Source organism: Homo sapiens, chromosome 3 (genome assembly GCF_000001405.40).
Source record: "Homo sapiens chromosome 3, GRCh38.p14 Primary Assembly".
Lineage (NCBI taxonomy): Eukaryota > Metazoa > Chordata > Mammalia > Primates > Hominidae > Homo > Homo sapiens.
The window spans coordinates 128205836-128229332 of record NC_000003.12 but is presented as its reverse complement, the minus strand read 5'-3'; the positions used below and the strand labels follow the sequence as shown (position 1 = coordinate 128229332).

The 23497-nt window shown below is 45.3% G+C and overlaps 1 protein-coding gene across 10 annotated transcripts in view, besides 4 other annotated features; it reads right to left on the bottom strand.

Annotated features, from left to right (window-relative positions):
- The window catches only part of EEFSEC (eukaryotic elongation factor, selenocysteine-tRNA specific), a 272743-nt gene that overhangs the window by 196891 nt on the left and 52355 nt on the right, over window positions 1-23497 (bottom strand). The window lies entirely within an intron of this gene.
- Window positions 2091-2591: an enhancer, noted in NCBI's record as "H3K4me1 hESC enhancer chr3:127945585-127946085 (GRCh37/hg19 assembly coordinates)". NCBI's record gives its function as "activates a minimal SCP1, AML or CMV promoter by ChIP-STARR-seq in primed H9 embryonic stem cells {active_cell/tissue: H9 hESC(primed)}" and the evidence as "EXISTENCE:reporter gene assay evidence [ECO:0000049][PMID:30033119]".
- Window positions 2221-2280: an enhancer, noted in NCBI's record as "active region_20480". NCBI's record gives its function as "activates an Ori minimal core promoter by ATAC-STARR-seq in GM12878 lymphoblastoid cells {active_cell/tissue: GM12878}" and the evidence as "EXISTENCE:reporter gene assay evidence [ECO:0000049][PMID:35858748]".
- Window positions 11116-11165: an enhancer, noted in NCBI's record as "active region_20479". NCBI's record gives its function as "activates an Ori minimal core promoter by ATAC-STARR-seq in GM12878 lymphoblastoid cells {active_cell/tissue: GM12878}" and the evidence as "EXISTENCE:reporter gene assay evidence [ECO:0000049][PMID:35858748]".
- Window positions 11196-11255: an enhancer, noted in NCBI's record as "active region_20478". NCBI's record gives its function as "activates an Ori minimal core promoter by ATAC-STARR-seq in GM12878 lymphoblastoid cells {active_cell/tissue: GM12878}" and the evidence as "EXISTENCE:reporter gene assay evidence [ECO:0000049][PMID:35858748]".

Here is a 23497-nt window from a genome sequence, read left to right as displayed (position 1 = left end):
CACGTGGGGAGAGCACTTCGCTCTCTAGCCTTGGCTTCTTCCAAAGCTGATGAAAAGGCCGTGCAGAGGCTGCCAAACACTCGCTCCCCAACACTCTGGACCGAGGCCCCACACCTAGTATCATAGCCACAGTATACATATGCTGTGTAAAAACAGGGCCTACTTCATAGACTGTTAGGAGGACTGAAGGAGTTAATGCATGTGAAAGCTCCAAACAGTCTCTGACATTATTTTCTCTCTAGTGGGGATTTTCCCTAGAATTTCAAACATAGGTTTTCATACTGAGTCTCAATATAGCCCCAGGAGGTAGAAAGCCCAGGAATAACCTAAGACAATTATTTCCCTGGATCATGAAGCAGGAAAACCTCAGAGACACCAGGCTGGAATTTCCTCTGGGACAGAAGTTATTCTTACCAAGCCCTTTCCACAAGAAATGAGCACTGTTTTTATAGGTGACATTTAATGTAGTGTTCACTATAACTAGGCTCCGTTCTAAGTGCATTGCATACATCAGCTCATTGAACTCAGTCCTAGGATACAGGTACTATTACCAACACCCCCATTTTGCAGATGATCACATCAAGGCACAGAGAGTTTGCATTGCCTGCTTGCCCAAGGCCAAATTGTCAGGTAAGTGCAAGGACAGGATCAGACCCCACTCAGGCCGCGGACCTGGTATCTAGTAGTGCTATGTTGCCCTCTGTGGAGAAGAGAGTGAGGGTCACAGGAGGTCAAGGTCAGAGACCGACTCCCCAACCCTGACCCTCCTCCCTGGGCAAGGAACAAGAAGGCCAGTGTGGTTGGGCCCCTACCTGCACCACCTGACAGCCTCACACCCACCACCCCCATCTCCTCATACTCCATGCTTCAGCTCCTCACTCAGCCATGCTCTCTATCACCCCAGGACCGTGGCCCATGCACATGTGCCTGGAGCATTCTTCCCACCTTGTCCTTTCTCTGGCAACCCAGCCTTCAAATTTTGGCTAGATGTCACCTCCCAGGTATTTTCCAGGCTCCCTCTCATCTGGAGGTGACAGCCCCTCCTCAGAGCCCCACAATCCCTGTTGCCCTAGGATAGTGCTGTTTGTGACTCCCAAGCTCCTCTGCAGCTTCACCCACTGGGACAGGGACCTGGGCCACCTTATCCCACAGAATCCCTTGCACATGGCAGCAGAGAATAGGTGCTCAACAAATATGTATGAAGTGAATGAAAAGCACTGAGAGGTCAGAGATGACCGGGCCTGTTCAATTACTTAGAACACCCCCTCCAGCAACAATTAATCAACTCTTCTCTAGTCCTCAGTGGTGGCATCCTAGTAACACTTAAAAAGGTTATGTATGCTTGTTTAGAAACAGAAAAAAGGGGAGAAAAGTTGAACAACTGAAGCGGCTGTGCCAAGAGAAAATCAAATGCTGTGAAGATCCAGTGGCCCAGGGCCAATAGAGAGAGGACTCAGGGGCTGCAAGGACTGCATCCACTTGGAGAAGACCCCAGTAATCTGAATGAGGGGAGGATGGGCCCTCAGATATCCGCTTTACAGATTAAGAGAGTAAGACTCAGAGAGGTCAAGGAACTCTCATCCAAGGCCCCACTGGCAGCAAAGGCAAGCACTGGGACTGAGCTCGGGCTCAATTCACCCCCGGACCCAGACTCCTCCTCCCCTATCATGGAAGCAGGGTCTGTCCTCACAAGGCCCCTGAGTTAATGCCGCTCTCACCAACTCTTACACTATGGGTTCCAAAAAACAACAGTTGTCTTAGACCCTTGTAGAAATGGGTCCCCAAGCCACAGAGAGCCCCTCCTCTGAAGCAAAGAAACCAAGGCAGGACATTCTTGACTAACCCTAAGCTGAAGGTGCTGGAAGGGCTTGGGCCAGTGCTCAGGGCCCTGACTCAAACCCATCAGGAGCTTCACCCCATGAAGTGTCCTGAGGGCACTGGGTCACAGAGCCTGCGAGAGTGGACCTAAGAAATTGTTTACTGGGAGAGCAGGAGACCAAAAAAAGAACGGAGTGGGGGGGTAGGGGGAGGAATCTGTCACAAAAAGTAAGTAAAATCAGCAGAATTCCTTCATGAAAAGGGTGGAATTAGCATATGGGCTCAGCTGCCAAGTGAGGCCATTGAAGCAAGCAATGTAAATGAATTCAAGATACAATTAGACATTTTTCTGGATGGAGACAGAGGGACTGAAGAAGGCATGGTAGGTCACATTTCAGAAGGAGCAGCAGGAACACACTGCACTGTGAAGCAGCCTGCAGAGTCCACCATGTCCTGCAAGCCCCAAGCAAGCAACCAGAGGGACAGGATGCAATGGCCCGAGAGGGGCCGGGGCAGGGGGGCCCCCTGGTGGAGGCGACAGGCAGGCCAGGCTGGTGTCCCAGGCAAGCATTCCCACCTTAGTGGGCTCTCCTTCCCCACTATTAATTTCTCAAGATGCCTGATACTGTACCTGCAAAACCAGCTACCCTCTGTGCACCACACAACCCTCTGTGCACCACCATATCTGGGCACAGAAATAAAAGTTTGCTTCTGTTACATTCTGTATGGCTGTCCCTAGGCTGGGTTCTGAACTTCAGAAATTAATCCAACCCAGTCCCTGCCCTCGAGAAGCTTCAGAGTCTTCTGGGGGAAACACACACACACATACAGACAACATCAACACAGTGAAGTATGTAAAAGTTAAATGAGAAGTTTCTGCTAAGCAAGCATAGAAGAGGGGAATTTAGCAACTGGAGGGAGGGAGCAGGCCGGAAAGCTAAGGGAAGGGGCCATTCAGGGCACAGGACACAGCAGGGGGCTACGGAAGCCCCAGCTGCCAGTGCTGCACGGAGGATGCTGAGCATGCACTTCCCCAGGATCTTTGGGGAGATGGCCAGATCACCTCGAGCTTTGTTAGAAAAGGACGGAATGACCAGAGGCACCAACCGCTGGCCCCTGGACCAGATATGACTCAATGGCAACAACTCAGTACAGCTGTTCCCAATCTTCTCAAGAGCACATGTGGCCCACCCAAGGAACAGAAAATGCTGGGTCCTTGTGAGGGACACAATTTATTAGGCCCTCTCTAACCCAATTGGTTCTGATGTCCTCCTTTATGTGGCTTACGGCATGGGCTGTCTAGCTTCGTCAAGCTCCTGGGCCTCTTCCTGAAACATTCATTTCCTTCAAGGTGAAATAAATGTTTACTCCCAGTCACTCTAAAAGGATCACAAGCATTTCCTTTGTGTTCTCAGCACACTTGCTGGCAACGAGTGTTTCCACAGCCCCTGAGCTCCTGCCCCGATTCTTATTGGGGCTCTGTTCTCCGGCATATCCTGAGAGTCAATCTCTTGCATCAATGAACTGAGTCTCTTCAACTGAAACTAGAAATAATTGGTAACACTCTGAGAAGACAATAAGACACATCTGCCTCTGTGCCCAGCACTTTGGTCTGTAAAGCAGCATGAAACCAGACCACCTGAGGAGTGACAGGACACTGAGCAAGTGCTTGGCAGTGTCCTTTCCTTCTCTCCAAAACCTGCAGGTGCTCAGAGCTGGTGTCCTCTCAGCTCCAATGCCCTGCCCCATAAAGCCTGGGTGCCTAACCATCCAGACCAGAGGAGAGAGGAAGGGGATGCAGAAGAGGTCTTGGGGCCAGGGGACAGTGCAGTAGAGATGGAGAGGTGGCTGGTGCTCTGTCCTCCTCCCTGGCAGATAAAGACAACATTATATTTGCATTTATAAACAGCTACTATGTGCCAGGCACGGTGCTGGGGATGCTTACATCTGCATTCACATTATCTTCACAACAACCCTGCAAAGTAAGCACTCTAATTCCATCTTCCAAAGGTGGAAACTCAGTCAGAGAGGTCAAGTCACAGGCTCAAAACACACAGCGAGTGCATGGCAGAGCTAAGATCCCAAAGGCTGTATAGTCTTCTATAACCTTCAGAACTCCCTGTAGCCATGTAGCTTCATTGTAGGGGGCCTTGGCACTGCCTGTGTACCAGAAGCACCTCCTTAAGAATAGACACAAAACCAAAAAAAGACACTGACCCAGGGCTGGGGCTGGACTTGCCTCACTGTGGCATCCAGCCCTGTCTTCCAGAAAAGAGCTCTTTACACCTCCTTAAGAATAGACACAAAACCAAAAAAAGACACTGACCTAGGGCTGGGGCTGGACTTGCCTCACTGTGGCATCCAGCCCTGTCTTCCAGAAAAGAGCTCTTCTGCACTGGTGGGAGGCTTCCTGGAGCAGTGCTCATCTTCCTGTCTGCTTCAGCCCCTACATCTTGGGCGAAACTTGAGGTTGAGGTTACATGCTTCGCCCTACTCGGGGTAACCATGCCTGGGCAGCCAGGTGTAGTACATAAAATATAAAGCTCACTAAGAGGGGTGTGGATTCAAATCCCAATACTAGGGTCTGACCTGAGGAAGCCAATCTACCTCTCTGAGCCTCGGGCTCCTCATCGACATGAAGGACTTGGGGATGTATATGTTCTTATATCCTTTTGTGGAGGGAGGAGGTAGGGAACCATATTTGAAGAACATTTTTCAAGAAAATTCTAAATATAGATAGGGTACTGGATACCAAAGAATAGTTATTATTAGCTGTGCTAATGACATTGATTTACGCAAGAAAATGTCTATATTTTTTAAAGATATATACATAAGTATTCAGGGGTAAAATGACTCAAGATCTCATAAATTTGTTTAAAAATACTTCAGCAAGAAAAGCAGGGGAGAGAGAGATGAAACAAGCACGGTGAAATCTTAGTAACTGTTCAGTCTGCCTGATGGGTACATGAATGTTTGTTCTCTTTGTCCTGAGTATGTTTGAAACCTTTCACTTTTCACATAAAACCTCCTTGAAGGCAGATCTAATAGGAACATGATAAATGTTAAGTGAGAACCTGGGGATAAGGATGCATGCATGAAAAGACCCAAGGGTGACCACAGGAACCATTTGAATACAGAATTAAGTCTGGAGAACTGTGACGTTTATTCTTCCATTAAAATGATGGGCCTCTTATACACCAATTGCATTTACTATCATTCTTGAAAGAAGAAATACATTCTATGAAAATTATTTCACTAACGCCAACTAAAAAAAATCCTGAAGCAGAACTACCAAAAACAGGAGGAGAGGTGTCACAGAGTGGTGCTTCATTTCTCAAGGTGATAGCTTGGGAAATCCAGGCTTAAGCAGGTTCATTGAAGATTTAAAAGTAACCCTTTGTAGAACCATTTTTAGCTCTAAGGTAAAAACAAAAAAACTGTAGACCTGCACAAATGAAAAGAGAATGAGAAACAGAAGATCACATAGAAAATAACAAAAAGAGCAGGAAAGAATAGAAAATGTTTTTTTTTTAAATGGAACATGATGACAAAAGACCAAATATATAATAATAAATGTAAAAGGGATAAGCCAACCTATTTAAACAATGAGGTTTTCAAAATACAAAATATCCCGTTTTTATATCTTTGATGTCATTTCAAATGATTTCTTCTTTTCCTGTTTTCTTCGCTTGTTTTCTGGTTTTCCTGCAGTGCTCACACAACATGCACGCACATGGGCACATGCTCATGGACATCCTATGACTGCTTTTTATGCACCAGGTGCTGGTCCAAGGCACTTTACGAAGACAATCATACAACATTTCTGTGTTGTTGTCACTAAATTTCCCATTTCATACATAAGGATACTGAAGCCCAGTGGTGTCAACGTTACTTAAAGGTACACTCTTTTGTAATTTTGTACATAAACTTTATAACACAATTGGAAATATGTATCACAAGTTGTATACCATAATTCAATAGTGACACAAACCACCTAAAGTCAATGGTCAGACTCCATAGCTTAAGGGTACAGTCCCCAGCAAGACTGCTTTCACTTCAGCTACCAGCTACCAGTTCAGGGGTCCCTAGGCCACCCACACTTCTGACCAGCTGGCTGCAAATCCAGGGGGTTCCCATGACCTCCTCAGGTTAGATAATTAACTAGAACAACTCACAGAATTCATGAAAGCACTATTCTTAGGATTACAGTTTTATTATAAGGGTAAGAATCAGGACCAGCCAAATGAAGAGACACATGGGGTGAAGCCTGGGAGGGCCCTAGATTCAGAGCTTTGGTGCCCTCTCCCTGTGCAGTCAGGGAAAATCACCCTCTGGGCATATCAATGTGTTTACCAATCAGGAAGCTCCCTGAACCTCAGTGTCCAGAGTTTTTACTGGGGTTTCATTACATAGGTATGACTGATTGAATTACTAGCCATGAGACTAAACTAAATTTCCAGCTCCCCAGAGGTCAGGAGGTCAGCCTGATATCATATGGCCCATAGGCCTAACCCTCTAATGACATGGTTGGTCTTTCAGGCATGACCAGTCCCCATCTTGAGTCATCTCCTTAGCATAAACTCAGCTGTGCCCCAAGGGCCCACCATGAGTAACAGAGACACAGTTATCACTCTGGAAATTCCAAGGGTTTTAGAAGCTCCAGGAACCTGGGACAAAGACCAGACAAATTCTTTATGATATATAATACAGCTAAAAAATGTTCATATATTCCTGTCCCTTCCTTCCTTTACAGAATATAAGGCCCCACCCATAAATCAAGCCATCTCATTTTTGGTAATCTGCTCTAAAGAATAATCTGAAATGCAAACAAATGTTCAACATGTTGTGGTTAAAGTGCGTAATATTGTACACAGTGCATACATTCATCAAGAGTAGACAGATAAAGTATGGTAGAGCAAGACAATAAAATAATACAGAGCCATTAAACATGTTTTCAGAGAAAATTTAATTATGGTATAGAAGAAGGCTCATGGTTCAAAACTTTGCTTAAATAAGGATCTAAAATTTTATACCCAGTAGAATCCCTACTAGGAAAAAAATGCCAAAATAGTTAACCCGAGTAACAGGTTAACAAATTATTCTTATTTCTTTCCTATAATTTGCTCTATTTTCCAGATTTTCAACATACATGAGTACTTCTATAGTAAAAAAAAATACTTTAAGCTGGGCGCAGTGGCTCACATCTGTAATCCCAGCCCTTTGGGAAGCCGAGGCAGGCAGATCATCTGAGGTCAGGAGTTCGAGGCCAGCCTGGCCAACATGGCGAAACCCCATCTCTACTAATATACAAAAATTAGCTGGCTGGAGTGGTGTGCACCTGTAATCCCAGCTACTGGGGAGGCTGGGGCATGAGAATCGCTTGAACCCCGGAGGGGGAGGTTGCAGTGAGCTGAGATCGTGCCACTGCACTCCAGCCTGGGTGACAGAGTGAGATTCTGTCTCAAAAAAAAAAAAAAAAAAAAAAAAAACTTTGAAAAAACACACGAAGAATAAAACTACCTACCCTAACTTCCATGAAGCATTAATAAGATAATTAATCTGAAAGCACATGGCAATGACTGCATTTTTAATACATTTTTAATACTTAGAATTTCTTTTTGGTTTGTTTTCAAATTTATCTACCCTTTTTTCATAATGTCCTAATCTTGCTATAATTTCTATTCCTTTATTTACATTTCAAATATTCTTATTTTAAATTCTCTTTCAGATTGTTTTATGGTTTCTAGTTTCCAGGATCTGAGTTTTCCCACTTGAGAATCCATAGATTCTCTTTCTCATGGTGGTAATTTTTCCTGTATGCCATGTAATTTTGTCTGTAAACTCCTCTTCAGCAAACGTTGTTTTCTGTGGGGGCTTGCACATGTGTGCAACTGTAAAGGCACCCCCATAGGGAGATCAGGGGCTACGGCAGCCCAGGGCCATAAGGAGTCACCAGTTTCTATGTTAATTTCTTGGCTGAGGATTTCCATTAGCACCAGTGATGAAGATATGAGGCCTGCATCTGAATCCATGCAATCTCAGGAATTCTGTCCTCTCCTGGGTGAAGGAAACTTTCTCAGCTCACCTCGCAAAGCAAGCAATTTAATCTCCACCAGTTACAGGCAACTTCTTGTCTTTTTTCTTAATTTACCAGGTGAACCTCACATCTCCAATCTGTATACCCCTGGAACTAACTGGCTTCCATTCATATTCCCTGCTGAGAATTTGACCTCCTTTTCTAGTCTAGCTCTTGAAGATGCTCCTTTCTTGCTTCTCCACCTGGCTGCATATTTTTTCTTCTCTTAGTGTTTCCTCACTTTATCCAGCATTTCAATGTGTTTGGGACACAAGGCTTCCAGCAGCAGCATGGCCCACCATGTTAACTGGAAGTCTGAAAAAACATGGTAAATTGCAAGGTGCAAGTGTGGCACACCTGTGATGTTTCTGAAGTTCTCCTGTGAGGGACATGCACTATCATGTTATTTTCAGCACTCAAAACACTGATGGAAACCAAATGTACTGAGAGTAACGAGAATTCACTTTGGTGAACAGAGAAATATAAACAGAGTTGTGTTGTAGACTCCATATCAAAAAGACTTGGACTTGAACCCTGGCACTGCCAGCTGTGCCATCTGGGGCTACTCATCTGTCCCACCGCCCAGCCACAGGGATAGCATAAGAACTGGCAGCAATGCACATACAGCACTGAAGAGGAAACACAGGCTTGAAGCCGGGTCTGTTGCAGGATACTCCCGGGAGGTTGGCCCTTTCTCGCCTGATCTGACAGCACACATTCAGGGACAGGCTGGCATCATTCTGTACTGGTTCCCTCAGGCAGGCACATAGTCAGGGCCTTAGAACAGTGAGTTAGAAGTGGGGAGCAGAAGGGCATAACATCTCTATGGGACTGGCACAGGAGGCTTCTTGCATGTGGAGGAATCCTCAGACTGCATGGCGGGTAGCATCCATAGCCATACTTCACCAGGGAATGGGGGGAAGCAGGCCAGCCGCACCTCTGAGAGTATGTTGTTGTTGTCTCTTGTTTCCTGTGACTCTCTCTGTGAAGCCCCATCATTTGACAGTAAAGACACCTTATGGTCTCTACGTGTGCTGGGGCTTTGGTATCAGTGATGGCACTGTCCACAATGAACAGCCACATAAACACCATGACGGAGCACTCAAGAGTGGGAGTAATTGAGATTATTCCTGGTTCCACCTCTAGAGAAGCAAAGTGTTCAATTCATTTAACTCCAAAGATATTTCCTGAAAGGAACTCAGGCACCTTTGCTTGGGAGCACAGACTCTGGAGCCAGAATGACTGGGTTCAAGTCTCTGCTCCACCACTTATAAAGCTAATGACTTTGTTAAGTTACTCACTCTCTCTGTCCTTCAGTTCCCTCATCTCCAGGAGTTGTAATCCTATAACTAGGACTAGATTTGTAGTGCTACCACATGGAGTTGTGGTCAGAAATATCTGTTACTGTATTAAAGTGCAGAGAACAGAGCTGCCACCGCAAATGCAAAGAGTTTACCATTTTTATTACTGCTATTCATTCTTTCTGCTCATGCATGATATTTAGGAACAATACTGTATTCCTTGGACACAGCTCTAAGTATAAAAGGGATAATTTTTTTCACTAATGACTTCAAACAGTAGGGTAGCACTGGGTCCCAGGGACACACTAGATGGGCACTCTTTCGATATTCATTTAGCCAAGAGTTTTTTTCTTTTTTTTTTTTCTAGTGTCTATTACATGCCAAGCACTATGCTAAGGGAATGCAGCCATTTAACAAAACAAATAAGGTCCCTGTCCTCATGGAGTTTACATTCTAGTGTGAGATACAAATAATGAATAAATATTTTCTGCATAGCTTGTACAGAGAGATAAAAGCTGCACAGAAAATAAAACAGGATTATGGGATAAAGTGGTGGGAGGTGATGAGGATATTATTCTAAAAAGGGTAGTCAAGAAGGTTCCCTTGGAAGATAAAAGGGATGGGGAAACAGCAAGGAGAAGGCCCAAGTGAGGAGCAGGTCTGAGGGGGAGAAGGAAGACCCAAGTGGCTGCAGACAGCAAGCCAAATGGGGGTGACAGGAGTGGGCTGGGTCACCAGGAGCCTTGAAGGCTGCAGTATGGAGTCAGGATTGTATTTTACTGTTAACAGAAGGCCAAGGGCAGTTTTTCAAGTGGGGGAGTGATATAACCCTGATGGATGTTTCAAAAGGTCACTCTGTGCTGTGTGGACAATGTATATCAAAGGACAGAATGGCAACAGGGAGGCCAGAGGGCAGTTGCTGCCATCACTCCAATGGGAGATGAGGTGGCTGGGGCCAGGATAGCACTGGGGAAATGGTACCACTGCACCAAAGCACACTGCCTGAATGAGTCCGCTCAGCCATAGAGGGAGGCAAAGTCCGAGCAGAGGCATCCAGCACAGAACGTCCACTCCTCTGCTCAGGCCTCGGCATAGCCTCCTCTCGTGGTCTCTTCCAAGGTCCATCTCCCCACTGCACCGTGAGCTTCCTGACGGCAGGCGCTGGACATTATGTACAGAGCACAGTGCCCCACCATGTGCTGAAAGTTCTGAGGGAATGCCTAACTGAAGGAGGACATAAGAAAGAGAAGAATTCTTATGTTCCTTAGCAGGAAGTCTACAGATAATGTCTAAAGCCAAACAAAAAGTAGCACAATAAACATGGTGTAAAGATTATATAAAAATAATAAGCTAAGAGTTGCAAATGGTTGCCTTTGGGGTAGGGGAGGCTCTGTTCTTATTCACTTGCTTGTCCAGCTTCTTTACTAGCCCGTCAGCTCCAGGAGGGCTGAGTCCCTGCTCCTGACACACGCAGCACACTTAAGTGCCGAAACAATGAACAAGCAAACCAACGGCCAGTCCGGAATCACTCCTTCAAACCCCAAACCCAAGCCTCTGGAAACATACCAAAGGAATGTCTGAATGGACACATCTAAAGCAAGAATTAAACATAAATCAAGACGGTTGAGCAGCTTGAGTAGTCCACTCTAAGACATGGACACTGCGCTTGGCCCAGAAAGCTAGCCGCATCTGTTTGCTTAAAGCAACTAAGACAAAAATTGTTTTAAGTTACAGCTGGTGTCTGGCCACTCTATCAAGCACTTAAGATATAGAGCTGATTATTTTCTGGCAACAATGAAGAAAGAAAGGCTGAAAGTACGGTGTCCTGTTACCAGCTGTTTCCGGAGTAGTTCTTACAGTCTATGTCTGTGAAGGGGCCAGAGCCAACTGAAGAGGCCTATACATGAAACTTGTTGTGGTTTGTCTCTTTTTTCTTTCATTTTTCCCCTTATTCACTTCACTTACTTAAATCACAAAGAGTATAACCCTTTGGAGAGCACCTCTGTGTACTCTCACTGCTAGTTAAAAAGCCCCTTAAAAGGGGACTTGAAAAACCAAGAAAAGAAACATGTATCCACTGTGGTCTCTTGGTCTTTACCCATTTACTTGGATTCCAACACACACTCTCCACTGACCTGCTGTGTGGCCTTGAGCAAACCCCTTAACCCCCTGAGCCTGTTTCCTCTTCTATAAAGCTAGGATGATGAAATGTACCTGAAAGAGTTGTGCAGCCAAGTGGAAAAATGTTCGCATAGTTCCAGGCACAAACCCTGAAATATAGAAGATGTTCCCTAATTAATATTTGACTCTTTCTCATGACTCACACCTCCCTACTCCCCATGATGCTGAGGTTTCCCCTGAGGACTGTCCCCAGGACAATAATCACAGCAAGTGTGGAAAAGAAGACCACAGCCAAGGCAAGTTATATACATGGGCAGTGGGGGACCAGGGGGGGCTGGTGCTATGCCCCAGGTGCTCGTGTATTCCTTTAATTCAAACATGTCAAATTAATTTGAACATGTTCAGGCAGGCCCTGGGGAAGGGAGCAGGCCCAGAGGGTCTAGGCCTAGGGTCCTGAGAGCCAAACCAATGGCCAAGGTGCACGTGAACACATTAAAGGGTCACGGGTCCTTAAGCCCTTCTGCTGGGAGATTGAGGGAGGCAGGATCCTGTCTTTCCTGTCTTTGGTTCTGCTATGGCAGCCTAAGGTGAATGAACAGGACACCACTACTACCCAACCCCATTTCACCCTGGGATGTCCACCAGTGAGCACATGGTGGACCCTTGGGTGACACTGAACCAGGGCTTTATGGCAGCCCCATGTAGGCTAGGTGTCCCTTCATCCCTCCCCACCACTACCACCACAGACCTTACCTCTGTCCCACAGTGAGGGATGAGGATTACATTACTCTCCATCCTATCTCGCCCTATTGCTGTAAGGATCAACAAGTATGCATAGAAGGCCCTTAGAATGGTGACACACAAAGCAAAAGCTATCAGCTCTCATCACTAGCATCTACAGAGGTGAGATTAAAGGGTAACTTTTATTTTCTTCTTTCTATGTTATTTTCCAAAATTGGGATAAGAAAATGTACTTCATGATAAATATAAATACTTATAATAAAAATTATTATCTACTATAATACTAACATATGAATACTTGAGCTACATATGTACGTGTCCAGCCCAGGCAGCCAGAGTCTCCATCTATGAGGTCAAGTATCTGAAAAGTTTTCAGGATCACTGCCAAAGCCAGGGAACAAAGACTGTCCCTGCCTGCATCCCTTCCCAAAGTATTCTGTCCTACCTATAGCCCACTGCCTTCAATCAGTCACAACTATGGGGACCACACGGAGATCTGTCCCAAGAGTGCTCTAGTCAGAAACTGACCAATGTCATGTGACCTCTGTGAGCAGGGCCAACAGGGCTCCCCTGAGGCTCTTGCAAGCAATTCACTGGGAAACAGGGCCAGTGAGCTGGGCACTGAGGCTAAGGGTGTGACAGAGACCCCATGTACGGCCAGCCATCAGAGGACAGTACAGGCGTGAGTGGGCTGGTCGAGGGGCAGAGGGGCAGGTGGGTGGGCAGGTAACGTGGCTGAGGCAGGTGGAAGGCCTAGCAGGGACATCACTGTGGCTGTCTGGTATGGAGAGCCACCTGCTCCAACTTGGGCTTAGCATGCCCAGCCCAGGCACAGCTCTGCTGCTCCCAACAAATCCTTTTACTAGAGCCACCTTGAGCTAGTTTCGGCTTCTACAACCAATCAAGCCTAAACTGCAGCTCCAGATCTGCAGACTGGTTAGTGGACATGAAACCACCCCGCAGTGGAAAATGAGCTTGGTGACTGGCCAAGCTTTGATGTTCCTCCATCCCACAACTGGCCCGAGTCTCAATTTGTTTATTTTTCTGTATAACTTTTGCAGTGTTTCAACTAAATGGGACAGTTTTTATCAACAGTTTCCTGAGCAAGAAAAATAGCAGAATGCTTGGTTTGAAATGAAGACTGGTGGATCTGCTGGGCTGTGTGATGTATGAGAAATTCTCCTCCTCTGAGAGATTTGGAAACCCATGCAAGAACTATGCATCCCCATTGTTATGGAGACCTAGCACTCCACTGGCACAGGGTCTCTTTCCCTTTAGGATCGCCTCTCTCCCCTTCTCAGTCCCTAATGTTTAGACAGTAGGAACTCTGGTCCCAGCTCCAGGGATAGGCGTGGGACCTAGAGCTGGCCACTCAGTCTCTCCTGTGCTTTTTGCTGAACTAGGAAATATCTCTTTCTGTGAGAGGGGCAAACTTGGCAGAAAGCAAGCAGAATGGATGGCAGCTCTGCAATCTCACAGGAGCCGGGTGGCCTAAGAATTAAGCCAGCATGAGGTAAGCAATCTGGAAAATGGGGCAGTGTCCTAACAACATTATTTGAGGCCCTGGATCCAGCTGTGCTTAAAGCTAGTCCTCACAAACTTCCTGGTTTTAAGAATCAGTTTGGGGTGGATTTTTGTCCTTTATAACCACAGATTATAGACTAATACAGTGTATTAGCCCATGTTTTAACAATGCAGTTCAACTCAAGCATCATTATTTTAATAGCTTTATAGCATGTTCCATGCCAGTGAACTGACTACTCATGTGCATCATCTCATCTGATCCATCAACGCTGTCCAAGGTGCACTATGACTACCCTTACTTCACAGACAGGATCCTATGAAGTAGTTAACTTCTGCCATCACCGTCATAATCATCATCATTTTATCCAAAGTCACATAGACACTAGGGAGTGGAGCCAGGATCCTAACCCAAGTCCTCTGAATTCAGACCCAGGTTCCTTCCCCCAGGGAAGGCCATGTTGCCTCTGTGTGCTCAATCTCATCTTAAATGCAGGCAGAGAGACACAAAAGGAGCTTCACCCCCTAACATTCAAGTGCATGCAATCACCTTCAAATAAGACATATATCCATGAACCAATTAGGGTTGCTGAGAGCCATAATATAATTGAGATCCCAAATGTGTGGTCCAGGTACTATTAACATGGCAGAAAGGCAAGGAGGTGAAGAGACTACACTTCAGGGCTGGATATTGGTGTATAATCTCACCAACATTATTACAACCACAATAATGAAATACTATGTCTTCTAATTCAACTCCTCACCAGCCACCTCAACTTTCCCACATCCATCTTCAACAAAGGTTTCTGATGTTACATGATTTTGCTGTTACCTCCTCCTCCTCAGGAAAATCATTCACTGGTATCAGTGCACCCAGAGGAACACCAGATCGCAGCTGTAAGTGCTGCCCACCACCATCTTCAAAGAGCCTTCCTTATAGCTTTCAGGTGGCACAGAGCAAGATAATTTCCAGTTTCCCTCCGGGAAATGAAGAGATCCCAGGTAATTCTATAATCCTATCATACATCATTAATATTCTAGTGTTAACTGATGGCCTCTGGGCCTGTACTAGGTCATTTTCTATTGAATACATATCTTAACTGGTGGCCACAAATGGTTACTCAATGATTTCTGCCTCATTGAGACAAAAATTTCAATTTAGCCACCTCATTTTATATAACTAAGAAAACTGAATTTTTTGATCTCATATCATATTTTCTAACCAAGTTACATTATATTAGTATGTGTCACTGAATGATTTTTCTTAGGTCAAAAATTTTTCTTATCAAATTATAATACAAAATTAAAGATATGTTCCAGAAATGAAAAGTCAGCAAGGACTTCAAAAGGACCTGAAGGAAAGTCCCACAGCACAATGGTTCTCAAATGTTCATCATTCCTGGGCCACCATTACAAAATTAGCTGAAAGAACAGAATACTGAACACAGCACAGCCCTCGCCTCACTGCTGCCAGCTGTTAGCAGTATGCTACATTTGTGTGCATTCCTGCATGTTCTCGTTCTCTTTCCATATACATATATGTGAATATATATAATGCTGATATATAAAAAGGATTCCCAAACCATTTTAAAGCAGGTTACAGTTACAATGACACTGGAGCCCTTACCATCTGTCTTCTAAGAATTAGGAGATTCCCCTACCCAAGAAATTTAACACTGACTTATACCATAATATTACTTAATCTATTGCCTATATTCAAATTTCTCCCAATTGTCCCCATTATGTCTTTCAGAGGTGTTCTTTATATCTTCCAGATTTGTTGTCTTTAGTTTCCTTTAATCTAGAAGCATCACCTGCTCTTTACTTGGCTGAGGTTGGGGCAGGGAGGTTAGTTCTTTTGTGACTTTGACATTCTTGGAGAGTCTTGCCTGGTTTATTACTTACTTAATATTTTCCTTTAAATTGACTTTTTTTAAATACTAAAACTATAAAACCAAAAAGAAAGCAAAAACTTCCATAAAAAGTACAGATTTGATGTACTACTTATTTGATTTTTTTCTAACGTACATTAAAGTAAGTATGTGAGTTTAAAACTTAATGTGCCTGTCCACTGGTCTTCCCTCACGTGGCCCGGCACTCCCCGTGAGACATGACCTCAACCCTGCTGGGTCCTGCCCAGCTTCACCTGACTCCCCCACAAGCAGGAGCTCAGCATCCCCAAGGGCCCTGGCACTGTGTAAGGCAGTTCCTGGGCTACAGAGCCCCTTCTTCCTCTGGATCGTTCAGGACCTACATGCCTGTGACCTCTACCATGTCTTGAATGGCACTGGGCCAGGTATCTGAAGTGTCAATTCTTCAGGTACAGACAAGAAAACAGGCTCATAGAGATTAAGCAGCTTACCCACACCCTCCAAATCAGCTAGACTGCATTTTCTACTACGCCAACTACATGCCAAGGACATGCCAAGCACTTTCTTCCCGTCACAGCTAAGGCTCCCCAGACCCTTCACCTGGTATCACCAACCAGGGGTATCATCAATCCCATGTTCCAGGTGAGGAGCCTAAGATCCGGAAGACGAAAGGTTTGCCCAGGCCACACAGCCTATAAGTAATGCAGCAACTGCCACAACCCAGGTCTCGGACCTAGCGTCCTTGCTCTCCCTCCCACTCACCCTAGCCAAGGCTTTCCTTGGGAGAAATACCACCCATGAGGCAATGCAGAAGGTGTGGTGGGCAGCCAACCCCCACTGAGGGTCAATGAGAATTTGTCAGATTTGCTATTAAAACATGAGACCAAGGATGGAAGCTGGCGCTGCAGATGTGTGCTAGCAGAGGACTGCTGCTCCCCGGGATGTGGCTGCCATGCTCCCAGGAAGGCAGCCCTGGAAGGAGCTGGCTGATGTGGCAGCGCCAGCCCATCACTGCCTGGGGAGGCTGGTGGCCGGCTTGAACTCGCAACACTCGTCCTGTTTATGCTTGCTTCATTTCATCATGTTGGCTTTGGCTCACTGTCCAAGCCCACAGAGACTATCTGAATTTTGATTCTGCTGTCTCAAAGAGGGTAGAAACTATACCTCCAAACATGCTTTTACTCCTCTCGAATGCCATTTTTAAAAACATTGAACAGAAGGCCAAAGCAAAAGCCCTGTTTCTAAACCAGATCTTCTCCATGTCGACATAGGGCTTTTAACAAATGTTCTTAGGATGTGACTGCTCATTCGGTTTTAAATCCTTTTCCTGGGTGGCCCTCACTCCATTACTTTATGCACTCAATATCAGGGAGAGGTACCAGCAGCCTTCCTGAGGTGAAGATCAAAAGCAGGGCTCTGAGTCCAACAAGAGCCCTCTGGGGCCCTTCCAGACCAGAGCACTTCTGTGAAGCAGAGGCCCAGAGGCTTACAGGCCAGCAGAAGCATGGTGGCTGGTCTCTAAGGAGCAACACATGAAGTTCACTCTGGTACTAAAGGTAGTGGCAGGAACACCTCTGATGAGGGTCAGCCCCTGTCCAGATATGAGCTGGGGCAGCTCCCCAGCCTCCCAGGGGCTCCCACAGCCTCCAAAGAAATCATAGACGTTTCCAAACTCCCATTTCACACCAACATTCTGTGAGTGTTAAGAAGTGTATGTATTTCTGGCTGGGCGCAGTGGCTCACGCCTGTAATGCCAGCACTTTGGGAGGCCGAGGCAGGCAGATCATGAGGTCAGGAGATCGAGACTATCCTGGCTAACATGGTGAAACCTTGTCTCTACTAAAAATACAAAAAAAAGTAGTCGGGCTTGGTGGCGGGCACCTGTAGTCCCAGCCACTGAGGAGGCTGAGGCAGGAGAATGGCATGAACCCGGGAGGCGGAGCTTACAGTGAGCCAAGATCATGCCACTGCACTCCAGCCTGTGCAACACAGCAAGACTCTGTCTCAAAAAAAAAAAAAAAAAAAAAAAAAAAAAGAAAAGAAAAAGAAAAGAAGTATATGTATTTCTTGCCAGGTGTGGTGGCTCACGCCTGTAATCCTAGCATGTTGGGAGGCTGAGGCAGGCAAATTGCCTGAACTCAGGAGTTTGAGACCATCCTAGGCAATATGGTGAAACCCAGTCTCTACAAAAAATACAAAAATTAGCTGGGCACAGTGGCATGCACCTGTAGTCCCAGCTACTTGGGGGGCTGAGGCATGGGAATCACTTGAACCAGGGAGGCAGAGGTTGCAGTGAGCCGAGATCACACCACTGTACTGAGATCACAGAGCAAGACTCTGTCTCCAGAAAAAAAAAAAAGAAGTATATGTATTTCTCTTTTGGTCAGTCTAAATTTTTACATGTTGTATTGTCAAGTAACAGTATGTTATCTCTAGATACCTCATATTCATAACAGCCTTCCTAGAGCTTGGTGGTGTGGCTCACACCTGTAGTCCCAGCCACTCAAGAGGCTGAGTTGGGAGGATTCCTTGAACCCAGGAGTTCAAGGCTTCAAGGAGCTGTGATCATGCCACTACACTCCAGCCTGGACAACAGAGCAAGACCCTGTCTCTAAAATAAATAAAATAATAATAAATAGCCTTCCTACATTTCTGTAGAGGTGAGAGGAGGTTAACACACAACAACTAAGGGCAATAGCACCCATATTTTAAGCATATAGTATACCTTGGGCTAAGACAGCTCTCTATGATCTCTAGTCCTCCAAAACACTCTGCAAAATGGATATTATTAACCCTGTTTTGCAAATGACAACATAGAGACTTAAGGACATGCCACTGTCCAGGCTTAAACAGCCAGTAAGCGACAGAGGATGTCTGACCACCAAGCTCTGGCTTTCCCACTACTCCTTTCAAGGCCATTTGGCAGTTGGCGAAGTCAGTCTAACAGATTGGCAGGACATTTTCATTTCTGCTGCCTAGAAAGCAGACAGAAATGGGCAGGAAAAAATGCCAGTGATGCCCAGCTGGCCTGATGCCTAAGTCTCTGAACCCTGACAGAAGGAGCTCTTCTGCAGAAGATAAAAGGTCAGCAATCAGCATTTTCTATACCAAAATTCCCACCAAACACAAGAATGCTCAATGTCATGACACGTGTGAATCAAGGCTTCTTTCATTCCAGGGGAAATCCGTAGGAATTGGCTGAATCTGAGGCTAGCTTTCTCCAAAAAATTCAGAGATGTAATTGGGAAGCTAGAAGGAACTTAAAATAAACATTGCTGACTCTGGGCTCTGCCCTGTGCCACAGTTATCCCAAGCACTCTACCACTAGTAACCTTCCCAATCATCCTTAAGGTTGGGGTTTACAATTTTTCACCGTCGAAAAAGGAAACCAAGATCCTAGATGTGAGGGGTGAAGCCATGGGTCATGCACAGATTTACCTGGCTCTAAAATCAGTTCTCTTTCCACCCACCAGAGATCTGGAGTTACATACACATAATCCCTTACTCCCCTGGACACCTACATACTGACTTCCTGCAGAAGCCTCAAGTCAGCGTGCCTCTCTGCCAACTACTCAATCTGCCTCTCTGCCAACTACCAACCTCAGTCTGAGCTGCTATGACCTCTCCAGGAGACCAAGCCAAGTCATTTCTGGGACCCCCTTCTCTGTTTGTCCCCCAGTCCTGCCATTCTCTCTACTAAATAACGAAACAGTTTCTCCTACCATTCTATGGGCATAGCCCCAAAGCCCAGACCTCTGCATTTCTCCCCTGGGCTTCTTTTTTTCTTAAACAATGGATTTCCTGCCTCCAGTCTTACCCATTCGGAACCACCACCATCCATAAAAGTACACAAACTGGCTTTCTAAAGCAAAGAAAGGTGCTCCTGTTTACAAGCCTTCAGTGGTTCCCCACTGCCCAGAGCAAAGTTTCCCAAAGTGGGAGATATTTTTGATGGCACACAGATCTGGCATTATATTGTAAGAAAATTATTAACATTTTGGTTATCTGTCCATTTCTTTGATTGAACGATGAGCAAGTCTCAACTGGGGACATAATCTACTTATTACCTCTCTAAAATACCCAAATCTCCCTTTATAACAAAAGCGAATCATAGCTCAAGTTCATAGTTTGTAGCTAGAATTTGACAACTGTTTGGTTTTCAGCATGTGTGCGTGTATATATGTGTACTTGTGTACATACGTGTGTTTATTCTACTTTTGCAAAGGCTACTGGTTTTTCACTTGCCTTAGTGATGCAAAATTTCCTTATGATTATCTACAATTTAAAAATTGGATTATAAAAATATATTAAATCAGAATATATATGGCATTGAGCCTGTAAGAGAGATGTGAAGATGGTTCTAAAATGACTGTAGTTTGAGTAAGACTGGCGCCTAGCCTTACCTAGCACCCAAAGGAGTTCTCCCAGAAGCTGGCCCATACCATCCAAGTTCCCCACATCTCTTCACTGTCTTCCCCTCCTACACTCCCCCTCTACTCAGACACACAAACCCACCATTTCCTGAATTAGCCATGGTCTTTCAAAGCTTCATGCCTCTGCAGGAGCTGTCTACCTTGCCTAAACCAGGTTTCCAAGAAAAGTCTCACCTAGTACAAACACTGTACCTCACTCTTTAAGATTCACGATACACCGAAGTGTATTAAGGATGAAAGGCTCTGAGAAGTTCTTTAAGGGGTGAGAGCAATTGCTGAACTGAGTTTAACCAGCATCTCTCAACTAATGGGTTCTCTTCTTTCCCCACATTAACATGCCATGGAACACATGTTCTACAAAGTATGCTTTGGGAAACGCTGGCCTAGAATGTTCTCCTTTCCCCTGATCTGATCAAATTCTACTCTGAACTTATCCTTCAAGAACTCACTCAAATGTCATTTCTTTGAGAAGTCTTTCCTCCCTCCCCACATAGAATCAGTTGTTCTCTCTCATCTATGCTCCTATAAGACTGTGAATTCACAACGTATGGTTTAATTCATGGGAATTCAAAGGTAAGCATTCAGTGAGAAGTAGTGCAGGAGCTTTTGCCCAAAACTCCATTTAATAAGCCGATGTGCCAAAGTGACCCCTGAATTGTCGCAGTTCTCACAGGCCCCTCCCAATGTGGCCATCTCACTGGGTGAGCTGTGACTCTAACATCTGATAGAGATTTTTCATAAAACATAGCTCCTAAACATCAACCAACTGCTTCAGCTAGGCCCCACCTCAGACATAGCAATCCACTCAATGCCAGAGGAAACACTGGCCCTATGTGGAGCTCACTGAGGAGCAAGGCATTCATCTTCAACACAGCCCCTTCCCAAGGAATTTTCAAGGTCAATTCTGGCAACAGATTGCCTTGGGCACTAACACTACACCTGAACATTCTTCAGGTTGAAGGTGTGACTCCCTCCAGCACTCACTAGATAGAGTTTGTCTACAGTTTCAAGTCTCTCCCTCTAGACTATGAGCCCCATAAAAGCAGAACAATTTGGTCATTTTTCCTGAGCCTAACTTACAGTCATCATCCAATATCTATGACATCACGGACAGAAGGGAGAAAAAGAAGCGCAGGTCAATAGAGGTCAAGTAACTTGGGTGCCTGTTAGAGTGAAATCCGCAACAAAAAACTCTTAGTGTGCTAACAGGACCAAAGAGGCTTCCCGTCCAACCATCCGCCACTTAGAGGCAGAGACCAGCCTGTGCTGGAAACTTGAGGCAGCCCCACACTATGTGGGCTGCTCCATTTTAAATCACTTCCTTATCTGGATTGAGCCAAAATCCAACTTCCTGTAGTTTCCGTAGCAGTACTGATCCAGACTCCCGGGACAGAAAATTTCCCAACAGTGGGGACAAGAAATCTGGCATTTACCAAAGGAAAAAAAGAAACAGGCAGGTAGGCAACCTTCCCAGGTAATTCTGATGCTACCAACAGCCTAGCACCCCCTGTCAGAACTGAAATCTGGGGGTGCCACAGACAATAAGCCCTGAAGTCAGACCAGAAGTTCATTTGGCAGCCAGATGAATGTCGAAACTCTCTCTAGAACCTTTCAGAAATTCTCAGGGGTCCGTGATTATTAACAGAGATCTTCTCATCTAGAATTTTACTGAGCTGTCTACCCATTATCAGTCCTGGCTTAGTAAACTCCAAATGGAAATTCTGAACAGCAAAGAAGAAAAGCTTTGTCAGATAGCACCCTGTGTTCCTGCTTTGAATGCCAACATGGAACAAAAACATTAAGTCAAAAGAAAGGTCTAGTTTACGTTATCCTTATCTTGTTAAGCGTGTGTGTGTGTGTGTGTGTGTGTGTGTGTGTGTGTGTATGCAATGTGTCTGTGGGAGAGGGGAAAGGCTTAAAGATGCAATGAGATTTTGACCCAATTTTGCAGATCTCAAAATTGGATCCTCACCTTAGCGACCCAAGAGTCCAAGCCTCCCTGGCAATTTATAATCGAGTGGGTGTTAAAAAACAAACAATGTGGCTCCTCTTCATAGTTCACAGTTAACATAACCTCCTAGGGGAGCCACAAGATGGGCAACACACTCCAGAGACCTGCTCTCACAGAGCCAAGGGAAACTGAAGCCAGACAATTGAAAGCAAGGAGTCAGGAAGATGGAGGGAAGAAAATGGAGGGAGGGGGGAGGGAAAGAGAGAGATGGAGGGAGGAAGAGAGAGAAGGAAGAAGGGAAATAGAGGGAGAGAGGGGAGCAGGAAGGGAGGGCTGGCCATCTTTAAATACTGTTTTATAAGACTCTTACTCAAATTGAGCTAGGTTAGATGGTTCAGAATTAAGCAAGAAGCCCTGAATTATAGCAGTAGAAGTACTCTTCTTCACTCTGATATCCAAAGATGCAATTTTCTTGAACTAGGGCTCTTAAGGGGCCCCCTCAGCTGCAGGCAGAAGTGCTGCACGGGCCAGTCTGGGTCTGGAGAGTGAGCCTGTGTTTGGTGCGGACTCCTGGCTGTCCACCCACTGCTCTTCCTACAACTCCAGCTGCTCCCTTCTACACCTGGGCTTATTCTGTCTCCGGGCCAGCCGTGAGAAGTCGGCAGGGCAGCAGAAGTAAAGTGAAGTCCCCAACCCAGCTCTGCACTGTCTGTGTCTCAGCATCCTCATCTGTTAGACAGAGAGGAGCCCACCTACCTTACAGGTCACTATGAGGATCGAAATAATATGTTGAGCAACCAACGTTAATAAGCAAATCATAAAGGTGATTATTATATCTACCCTCTTTCTCTCATATCAAAAGGTTTTCACCTCTTCACACAGATCCATGGCCACTAAGAGAAACTACTGCCAGCAGCTGTGTTTTATACAGCTGTTTATATGTCCTATTCTCATCATCTTTCCTTCAGGTAGGTCCAGTTTTCAAAACAGATTTGTGTTCTGTGCTCACACAGACAGAAGTGACTGGCTTGCTCCAAGCCAAGTTAATCCCACAGCAGAGATGGAACCTTTCCCAACACCCCTTCCTCTAATGCCTAGATTCAAGTTCAAAACGCGCCTGATAAAAACAAGGGTAATTTTGGGAGGTTAATGATTGGTCAAATGCCTCCAAGCAAGCCAAGCACAAAGAGGAGCTCCTGCCTCTTCCTGGAGGCCTAGGAGAATTCTAACACAGGGTTGTTTATAAATATTACCAGATTTTGCCCAGGGCAGATGGATCTAAGCTCTCTGGACAGTCTCTTCCCAGAAAGGTGTTCCAGATTGTGCCTCACACAATCCTGCTCCACACACCCACCATCATTCTCAGTTCCATGTCCCTTACAAGAACATAGGATATAAAATGAAATACCAGCATGATTTGTGGACTGCATTTATCCCCTACATCTTAGCAGATTCTGAAATCAACATTACATTGCATTGTAAAATACTTAAAGAGTCGTTATTTTAACTTGAAAAAGGAGGACACAGACATGTTCCAAATGGGTTGCTACACTTGGCACACCCCACTCCCAAAATGCTGTACTGTCAATAATTCTTTACAAGAATAGTTTTTTAAAGGCATATAATTGTAATGCACTAAAGAATTCCTTAGCAGGCCAGGGCCT